Genomic DNA, 11,461 nt, shown 5'->3' on the forward strand with positions numbered 1-11,461 from the left:
GCTAGAAAAATGTAAGTTTGAAGAATTAACTTTTAAAACATTTAATTCAATACTTCTTAGCACTTACACTAGAGGCCTCAGTATATATACATAGAAAGAGAGAATGCACCTTCTACTTCCAGCCAAAATTTTCTACCCTTCCAGAGTTTAGGTATAGCTTATCAACCTGAAAGAGCAATTATTTTTCTTGTACAAGTATGGTGAGTTATATAAGCAGGAAGTGCTTAATAGTTGTCATATTTTCCTACCTGCTTGCTGTACTCCAAACATACAGCTCAAAAGCAGAAAAAGTGTTCAAAAATAACTTAGGTTTAAAGACTGCTGCCTATAACTAAATTTAATTCTTTTCTTGGTCTTAGTGTATTTTTCAGAGTCTACATTGATATAAAGACTTCATCTCCTAGGCACTGAGAAAATCAGTAGATGAATGTTCAAATAGCAGTTAAAGTACTGCAGTTTTGTTGCTGACAATAGCACCAGTGTATTCCAGTGAACTATGTCTCATTCTCTGCAAATGAATGAACAGTATATAATTTTTTTTAAATTGCCCATTTATTAACTAGTGGGGGGAAATGCTGTACCACTTCTGCACACACCATCCTCTTCCATTAGTGAAAATTAAATGAAGGTTATATGCAGGGTTTGTAAGCGAGGATTGACAAAGCAGCCAGGAGAGATGAGGGAGTTTGTGCAATTGAGACTGAGAGAACATTAGCTGATCAAATGCTGGTTTCCTTCCCTTTGCATCATTCCCACCTTTGTTACTATTCTTTCAAGATCGTAAGTAAATTCTCACCAAACTCACTGAACTCATCTTATGCCTTTTTTTTCACTTTATCTACTATATGCTTATGAGAAAATCCACGAATCTAACAAAATATCTTAACATAAATATACACGATTTTACCTGGCCATGTGATGATCAAGATGCTGTTGTGTATGTGTCTGGCTTTGTTTCAGGACTCTTTCTTCTCTCTTTTAGCTCATCTTTTGAAAATATTACTTCAGCATTAATTTAAAAAAATATATATTTATTTTATACTTTTATATTGTGCTTTTCACTAGTTTTATGAGAAAGGAATTTAAAAAACAAAAGCTAGCCCCACCAAAAAGGATAAAGATTGAGAAAGTCATAATCCTTCTCCTAATGGATATGTTGTAATCAACATAAATGTTATGTGGAGCTAATATTTTTATTTCTTTACATTTAAAGAAAGGTTCAAAACAACTGCTTTTTCATTATCAATTTTAAGTCATAAACAAGCAGGTTAGAAACCGTGGTGAGACCATTACTGTCTGGGAGAATTCATGTTTCTCATGTAGGGGTGAAAAAAGAACTACATCCTTAGGTTTTTTGGAAAGAAGCCACTTGTCTTTCCCAGGAGTCTGGTGGGGTTTCCTGAGCTTTTTACTGGCAACACTCAAGTGTTGTTTATGCGACCATGCCAAGACACCATGGGATTGAGATACTCTCATTTGGCTGGCAGGCCTGTCTGGCTCTCTCCTTGGTGCTGGCTGCTTCCAAGGAGCTTGCTTCTCTGGGCTTTGTTTTTAGCAAGACACACAGAAAAGGGGTTACCCTGCAAAGTCCTTGATGGATTTACATCCCCAAATGAGCTCTTGGTTTTGTTATCCCAAATTGACTCACCTCCCTATGAAGGTTTTCTAAATTGCCACAGCCTTATAACACCTAAATTTTATTTTTTCCTTGGCACTTAGCAGGTTTTGTATGGCTTTGAAATTCACATTGTGATTTGGCTTCCACTGAGTTTATAAGACACTTTAGAGCAGGGCCCTGAAAATTCTCTTATCCCTACAGTGCCTAGGTTGTAACAAGTTCTTGAAAATATTGTTTGATGATAGGAATGTTTTCCTGTCTTCTTCCCTGGAAGAGATGCCTAGAGTTTTTAATTATAAGATCCTGTCATATCTAGACAATGTTAAAATAATAGATTTGCATATGTAGCCCACAGTTGACAAGTATATTATTTTTTTCTTTCTCTTCCTTGTCCAACAATTACATAAAACACCCTATTGTTCTCTGCCTCTCTGTCTCCTCTCTCTGTCTCTTTATCTCTCACACACACAAATGGATACAAGATCACAGTTTCACTCCCATCTTTCAATGGGATCCTAACAGTAGAGGTCAAGAGTATAGAATCTGAAGCTAAACTGCCTCAGATCCTATACCAGCTCCCATAATTAATACCTACATGACAGTGAAAAATGTCATGTGAGGATGCGAGGCCGGGTGCGGTGGCTCACTCCTGTAAACCCAGCACTTTGAGAGGCTGAGGCAGGTGGATCACCTGAAGTCAGGAGTTCGAGACCACCGTGGCCAACATGGTGAAACTCCATCTCTACTAAAGATACAAAAATTAGCAGGGCATGGTGGTGGGCACCTGTAATCCCAGCTACTTGGGAGGCAGGATTGCCTGAACCTGGGAGGAGGAGGTTGCAGTGAGCCGAGATCACACCATTGCACTCCAGCCTGGACGACAAGAGTGAAACTCCGTCTCCACAAAAAAAAAAAAAAAAAAAAGAGAGAGAGAGAAAAGAAAAATGTCATGCGTATCTCTGTGCCGCAGTTTTTTATTGATTTTTATTGATGAAATGGGGGTAAAAATAGAAAGTAACCTCATATTTTGTCAAGTTAATCACATAAAGCATTTAAAAGAATGGCTCATAATAAGTAGTATATTAGTATTTTTCATTGTTACTACTTTGGGGAATGGTTTAGTGAAAGCGTTAGTTCTCTCAGCAGTCATCAGTTCAGATTTACAAAACGTGCAATCTCAACCCATTAGGGAAGTGGCAGTGATAGCAGAAGCAAGAATCTGACTAGAAAAGCCAGATCCTCTTCTTGATTGAGGGAGTCCAAATCACCAACCTTTACTTTTTGTTTTGAGACGGAGTCTTGCTCTGTTGCCCAGGCTGGAGTGCAGTGGCAGGATCTCGGCTCACTGCAAGCTCCGCCTCCCAGGTTCACGCCATTCTCCTGCCTCAGCCTCCCAAGTAGCTGGGACTACAGGCGCCCGCCACTATGCCCAGCTAATTTTTTGTATTTTTAGTAGAGACGGGGTTTCACCGTTTTAGCCGGGATGGTCTCGATCTCCTGACCTGGTGATCCGCCCGCCTCGGCCTCCCAAAGTGCTGGGATTACAGGCGTGAGCCACCGCGCCTGGCCAACCTTTACTTTTTTAATGGAAAAGATGTTGGCCAAGAAAGAGCAACTAATTTAACTAAATAAGTGTATTTGGGCAGTGAAGAGCTTTAAAAATCCTTACATTTTTTATGTATAACTTGTGCAACCTGAATTTTATGTAACTTTGCATAATAACTTCTGAAATTTTATGTTTGGAAAATCTAAGGAGAGGATTTAATGTTGGATAAATAAGAATAGAAATGAGGGAGGAGGAGCCAAGATGGCCGAATAGGAACAGCTCCAGTCTACAGCTCCCAGCGTGAGCCACGCAGAAGATGGGTGATTTCTGCATTTCCATCAGAGGTACCGGGTTCATCTCACTAGGGAGTGCCAGACAGTGGGCGCAGGACAGTGGGTGCAGCGCATTGTGCATGAGCCGAAGCAGGGCGAGGCATTGCCTCACTCGGGAAGCGCAAGGGGTCAGGGAGTTCTCTTTCCTGGTCAAGGAAAGGGGTGACAGACGGCACCTGGAAAATCGGGTCACTCCCACCCGAATACCGTGCTTCTCCGACAGGCTTAGGAAACGGCACACCAGGAGATTATATCCCGCACCTGGCTCGGAGGGTCCTATGCCCACGGAGTCTCACTGATTGCTAGCACAGCAGTCTGAGATCAAACTGCAAGGCAGTAGCGCGGTTGGGGGAGGGGCGCCTGCCATTGCCCAGGCTTGCTTAGGTAAACAAAGCAGCCAGGAAGCTAGAACTGGGTGGAGCCCACCACAACTCAAGGAGGCCTGCCTGCCTCTGTAGGCTCCACCTCTGGGGGCAGGGCACAGACAAACAAAAAGACAGCAGTAACCTCTGCAGACTTAAATGTCCCTGTCTGACAGCTTTGAAGAGAGCAGTGGTTGTCCCAGCATGCAGCTGGAGACCTCAGAACAGGCAGACTGCCTCCTCAAGTGGGTCACTGACCCCTGACCCTGAGCAGCCTAACTGGGAGGCACCCCCCAGTAGGGGCAGACTGACACCTCACATGGCCAGGTACTCCTCTGAGACAAAACTTCCAGAGAAACGATCAGACAGCAGCATTAGCGGTTCACGAAAATCCACTGTTCTGCAGACACCGCTGCTGATACCCAGGCAAACAGCGTCTGGAGTGGATCTCTAGCAAACTCCAACAGACCTGCAGCTGAGGGTCCTGTCTGTTAGAAGGAAAACTAACAAACACAAAGGACATCCACACCAAAAACCCATCTGTACATCACCATCATCAAAGACCAAAAGTAGATAAAACCACAAAGATGGGGAAAAAACAGAACAGAAAAACTGGAAACTCTAAAAAGCAGAGCACCTCTCCTCCTCCATAGGAACGCAGTTCCTCACCAGCAAAGAAACAAAGCTGGACGGAGAATGACTTTGACGAGTTGAGAGAAGAAGGCTTCAGACGATCAAACTACTCCGAGCTACAGGAGGAAATTCAAACCAAAGGCAAAGAAGTTGAAAACTTTGAAAAAATTTAGACGAATGTATAACTAGAATAACCAATACAGAGAAGTGCTTAAAGGAGTTGATGGAGCTGAAAGCCAAGGCTCGAGAACTACATGAAGAATGCAGAAGCCTCAGGAGACGATGCGATCAAATGGAAGAAAGGGTATCAGTGGTGGAAGATGAAATGAATGAAATGAAGTGAGAAGGGTAGTTTAGAGAAAAAAAAATAAAAAGAAACGAACAAAGCCTCCAAGAAATATGGGACTATGTGAAAAGACCAAATCTATGTCTGACTGGTGTACCTGAAAGTGACAGGGAGAATGGAACCAAGTTGGAAAACACTAGGCAGGATATTATCCAGGAGAACTTCCCCAATCTAGCAAGGCAGGCCAACATTCAAATTCAGGAAATACAGAGAATGCCACAAAGATACTCCTTGAGAAGAGCAACTCAAAGACACATAATTGTCAGATTCACCAAAGTTGAAATGAAGGAAAAAATGTTAAGGGCAGCCAGAGAGAAAGGTCGGGTTACCCTCAAAGGGAAGCCCATCAGACTAACAGCAGATCTCTCGGCAGAAACTCTACAAGCCAGAAGAGAGTGGGGGCCAATATTCAACATTCTTAAAGAAAAGAATTTTCAACCCAGGATTTCATACCCAGCCAAACTAAGCTTCATAAGTGAAGGAGAAATAAAATCCTTTACAGACCAGGAAATGCTGAGAGATTTTGTCACCACCAGGCCTGCCCTAAAAGAGCTCCTGAAGGAAGCACTAAACATGGAAAGGAACAACCGGTACCAGCCGCTGCAAAATCATGCCAAAATGTAAAGACCATCGAGACTAGGAAGAAACTGCAACTAACGAGCAAAATAACCAGCTAACGTCATAATGACAGGATCAAATTCACGAATAACCATATTAACTTTAAATATCAATGGACTAAATGCTCCAATTAAAAGACACAGACTGGCAAATTGGATAAAGAGTCAAGACCCATCAGTGTGCTTTATTCGGGAAACCCATCTCACATGCAGATACACACATAGGCTCAAAATAAAAGGATGGAGGAAGATCTACCAAGCAAGTGGAAAACAAAAAAAGGCAGGGGTTGCAATCCTAGTCTCTGAGAAAACAGACTTTAAACCAACAAAGATCAAAAGAGACAAAGAAGGCCATTAAATAATGGTAAAGGGATCAATTCAACAAGAAAAGCTAACTATCCTAAATATATATGCACCCAATACAGGAGCACCCAGATTCATAAAGCAAGTCCTGAGTGACCTACAAAGAGACTTAGACTCCCACACAATAATAATGGGAGACTTTAACACCCCACTGTCAACATTAGACAGATCAACGAGACAGCAAGTTAACAAGGATACCCAGGAATTGAACTCAGCTCTGCACCAAGCGGACCTAGTAGACATCTACAGAACTCTCCACCCCAAATCAACAGAATATACATTTTTTTCAGCACCACACCACACCTATTCCAAAATTGACCACATAGTTGGAAGTAAAGCTCTCCTCAGCAAATGTAAAAGAACAGAAATTATAACAAACTCTCTGTCAGGCCATAGTGCAATCAAACTAGAACTCAGATTTAAGAAACTCACTCAAAACCACTCAACTACATGGAAACTGAACAACCTGCTCCTGAATGACTACTGGGTACATAACGAAATGAAGGCAGAAATAAAGATGTTCTTTGAAACCAACGAGAACAAAGACACAATATACCAGAATCTCTGGGACACATTCAAAGCAGTGTGTAGAGGGAAATTGATAGGACTAAATGCCCACAGGAGAAAGCAGGTAAGATCCAAAATTGACACCCTAACATCACAATTAAAAGAACTAGAAAAGCAAGAGCAAACACATTCAAAAACTAGCAGAAGGCAAGAAATAACTAAGAACAGAGCAGAATTGAAGGAAATAGATAAACAAAAAACCCCTCAAAAAATTAATGAATCCAGGAACTGGTTTTTTGAAAGAATCAACAAAATTGATAGACCGCTAGCAAGACTAATAAAGAAAAAAAGAGAGAAGAATCAAATAGACGCAATAAAAAATGATAAAGGGGATATCACCACCAATCCCACAGAAATACAAACTACCATCAGAGAATACTACAAACACTGCTACGCAAATAAACTAGAAAATCTGGAAGAAATGGATAAATTCCTCGACACATACACTCTCCCAAAACTAAAACAGGAAGAAGTTGAATCTCTGAATAGACCAATAACAGGATCTGAAATTGTGGCAATAATCAACAGCTTACCAACCAAAAAGAGTCCAGGACCAGATGGATTCACAGCCGAATTCTACCAGAGGTACAAGGAGGAACTGGTACCATTCCTTCTGAAACTATTCCAATCAATAGAAAAAGAGGGAATCCTCCCTAACTCATTTTATGAGGCCAGAATCATCCTGATACCAAAGCTGGGCAGAGACACAACCAAAAAAGAGAATTTTAGACCAATATCCTTGATGAACATTGATGCAAAAATCCTCAATAAAATACTGGCAAACCAAATCCAGCAGCACATCAAAAAGCTTATCCACCATGATCAAGTGGGCTTCATCCCTGGGATGCAAGGCTGGTTCAATATATGCAAATCAATAAATGTAATCCAGTATATAAACAGAAACAAAGACAAAAAACACATGATTATCTCAATAGATGCAGAAAAGGCCTTTGACAAAATTCAACAACGCTTCATGCTAAAACCTCTTAATAAATCAGGTATTGATGGGACGTATCTCAAAATAATAAGAGCTATCTATGACAAACCCACAGCCAATATCATACTGAATGGGCAAAAACTGGAAGCATTCCCTTTGAAAACTGGCACAAGACAGGGATGCCCTCTCTCACCACTCCTATTCAACATAGTGTTGGAAGTTCTGGCCCGGGCAATTAGGCAGGAGAAGGAAATAAAGGGTTTTCAATTAGGAAAAGAGGAAGTCAAATTGTCCCTGTTTACAGACGACATGATTGTATATCTAGAAAACCCCATTGTCTCAGCCCAAAATCTCCTTAAGCTGATAAGCAACTTCAGCAAAGTCTCAGGATACAAAATCAATGCACAAAAATCACAAGCATTCTTATACACCAATAACAGACAAACAGAGAGCCAAATCATGAGTGAACTCCCATTCACAATTGCTTCAAAGAGAATAAAATACTTAGGAATCCAACTTACAAGGTATGTGAAGGACTTCTTCAAGGAGAACTACAAACCACTGCTCAATGAAGTAAAAGAGGATACAAACAAATGGAAGAATGTTCCATGCTCATGGGTAGGAAGAATCAATATCATGAAAATGGCCATACTGCCCAAGGTAATTTACAGATTGAATGCCATCCCCATCAAGCTACCAATGACTTTCTTCACAGAATTGGAAAAAACTACTTTAAAGTTCATATGGAACCAAAAAAGAGCCCACATTACCAAGTCAATCCTAAGCCAAAAGAACAAAGCTGGAGGCATCACACTACCTGACTTCAAACTATACTACAAGGCTACAGTCACCAAAACAGCATGGTACTGGTACCAAAACAGAGATATAGATCAATGGAACAGAACAGAGCCCTCAGAAATAATGCCGCATATCTACAACTATCTGATCTTTGACAAACCTGAGAAAAACAAGCAGTGGGGAAAGGATTCCCTATTTAATAAATGGTGCTGGGAAAACTGGCTAGCCATATGTAGAAAGCTGAAACTGGATCCCTTCCTTACACCTTATACAAAAATGAATTCAAGATGGATTAAAGACTTAAACGTTAGACCTAAAACCCTAAAAACCCTAGAAGAAAACCTAGGCAATACCATTCAGGACATAGGCATGGGCAAGGACTTCATGTCTAAAACACCAAAACAATGGCAACAAAAGCCAAAATTGACAAATGGGATCTAATTAAACTAAAGAGCTTCTGCACAGCAAAAGAAACTACCATCAGAGTGAACAGGCAACCTACAAAATGGGAGAAAATTTTTGCAACCTACTCATCTGACAAAGGGCTAATATCCAGAATCTACAAGGAACTCAAACAAATTTACAAGAAAAAAACAAACAGCCCTATCAAAAAGTGGGCAAAGGATATGAACAGACACTTCTCAAAAGAAGACATTTATGCAGCCAAAAGACACATGAAAAAATGCTCATCATCACTGGCCATCAGAGAAATGCAAATCAAAACCACAATGAGATACCATCTCACACCAGTTAGAATGGCAATCATTAATAAGTCAGGAAACAACAGGTGCTGGAGAGGATGTGGAGAAATAGGAACACTTTTACACTATTGGTGGGACTGTAAACTAGTTCAACCATTGTGAAGTCAGTGTGGCGATTCCTCTGGGATCTAGAACTAGAAATACCATTTGACCCAGCCATCCCATTACTGGGTATGTACCCAAAGGACTATAAATCATGCTGCTATAAAGACACATGCACACGTATGTTTATTGTGGCACTATTCACAATAGCAAAGACTTGGAACCAACCCAAATGTCCACCAATGATAGATTGGATTAAGAAAATGTGGCACATATACACAATGGAATACTATGCAGCCATAAAAAATAATGAGTTCATGTCCTTTGTAGGGACATGGATGAAATTGGAAATAATCATTCTCAGTAAACTATCGCAAGGACAAAAAACCAAACACCGCATGTTCTCACTCATAGATGGGAACTGAACAATGAGAACACATGGACACAGGAAGGGGAACATCACACTCTGGGGACTGTTGTGGGGTCGGGGGAGGGGGGAGGGATAGCATTAGGAGATATACCTAATGCTAAATGATTAGTTAATGGGTGCAGCACACCAGCATGGCACATGTATACATATGTAACTAACCTGCACATTGTGCACATGTACCCTAAAACTTAAAGTTTAATAATAAAAAATTTAAAAAAAGGTAAAAAAAATGAATAGAAATGAGACACAGCAGGATAATGTTGAAAGAAAAGACAATTATTAGGTACAATATCTTGTCTCTAAAATGATGTTTTCTATTGCTTCATCTTGGTACTATTTCTTGGTTACCCTCATAAAAGGCCTGCCAGTGAATAAAATAAGTCATCTATTGCTCCATATTTAAAATGATTACAGAAGTGCATAAAGTGGTGGCTAAAAGTGGAGTTCCAGACTTGAAGATCACTGCAAATGATACTTTATTTTTTCCGCTGTCACCCAGACTGTCATGCAGTGGTGCAATCAGAGCTCACTGCAACCCCAAATTCCTGGGCTCAGAAGGTCCTTCTGCCTTAGCCTCCCAGGTAGCTAGGACTATAGGTGCATGCCACCATGACTGGCTAATTTTTTTTTCTTTTAGTAGAGATAGGGTCTCCCTATGTAGTCCAGGCTGGTCTTCTCCTGGCCTCAAGTGATCCTTGGCCTCAAGTGATCCTCAACTCCTGGCCTCAAGTGATCCTCCTGCCTCAGCGTCCCAAAGACCTGGGATTACAGGTGTGAGCCACTGCACCTGGCCCAAAAGAGGCTTTAGGGCTTGGCTTCAATGAAGCCAAGTCTTTGGCAGTGGTAACTCTGTCTTACTTGAAGGATACCCAAATTATGTCAATTAATGGGAGATTTTTTTACCTGAAACTGTGGAATAAGCCCTAAAGCATGACTTTCAAGGTTATCTAATAACCGTCACCTCTTATAAGTTGGTGAACCTGGTCTAGTGCATGCTCCAGCATATGTCCTGGCAAGGATGTATACTGGACTACTTCAATTTTACATAAATAAGGGTCAACCTGGAAGTAGAAAGTTATGTTTACAATAAGCTTTGCTTAGAAGTCATTCCAGCTACTTATGCTACATTAAAAAAAAAATCCCAAAACTTTGTGGCTTAAAGCAACATCAATCATTTATTTTGCTCATGAGTCTGTAATTAGGGCAGGACTTCGTAAGGTGGCTCATCTCTATGAGCATCAGCCGAAATGGCTTGACTGGGACTTAAGGATCTATTTCCAAAATGCACATGGTTGGCAAGTTGCAGTTGGCAGTTAGCTGGGAATTCAGTCAGTGCTGCAGGCTGGGGATTTTCCTCATAGCATTGAAAGCCGAGCTCCAAGAAGAAAGGTTTAGGAGGCTTGGTCAGAAGGTACATGGCTTCTTATGAGCTTGCCCTATCATATTGCATTAGTAACTAGGAAAGTCATCAAAACCAGCCCACATTCAAAGGGAGGGGAATTAGGCTCTATCTTGAATATCTTGCAGAAGTTATCATGCCCAAATCTCTACCTATAAGTGAGGCTATTTATGATCTCTCTCTTATATACAGTGATGCATCCTTTATTGACAGGGATACATTCTGAGAAACGGACCATTAGGCAATTTTGTCACTGCGCAAATATCATAGAGTGTATTTATACAAACCTAGATGGTATAGCCTACTACACTTCTAGGCTATAACATATAGCCTGTTTATAGACTGCAAACCTGTTCAGCATGTTACTCTACTGAATTTTGTAGGCAATTGTAACACAATGGTAAGTATTTGTGTATTTAAACATAGCTACGCAAAGCAAAGCAAAGGTACAGTCAAAATATGGTATAAAAAGATTTCAAATGATACACCTGTATAGGGCAGCTCCATTATAATTTTATTGGACCAATGTCATGTATTTGGTCTATCATTGATCAAATCATCGCTATGCTATATATGACTGTATCTTAATTGTGATTTCCTTATGTTTCTTTTAGACAAGTAAATCTTGTTTAATACAGCAAAGAGGTATCGTTTTTCTGGTTCTTTTTCTGGTCAGTCTTTTCTTTCTATTGACATTTAGTGATAACATC

At 40.6% G+C, this 11,461-nt stretch overlaps 1 annotated feature.

Annotated features, from left to right (window-relative positions):
• Window positions 3,851-4,351: an enhancer, noted in NCBI's record as "H3K4me1 hESC enhancer chr5:50600765-50601265 (GRCh37/hg19 assembly coordinates)". NCBI's record gives its function as "activates a minimal SCP1, AML or CMV promoter by ChIP-STARR-seq in naive H9 embryonic stem cells {active_cell/tissue: H9 hESC(naive)}" and the evidence as "EXISTENCE:reporter gene assay evidence [ECO:0000049][PMID:30033119]".

Source organism: Homo sapiens, chromosome 5 (genome assembly GCF_000001405.40).
Source record: "Homo sapiens chromosome 5, GRCh38.p14 Primary Assembly".
Lineage (NCBI taxonomy): Eukaryota > Metazoa > Chordata > Mammalia > Primates > Hominidae > Homo > Homo sapiens.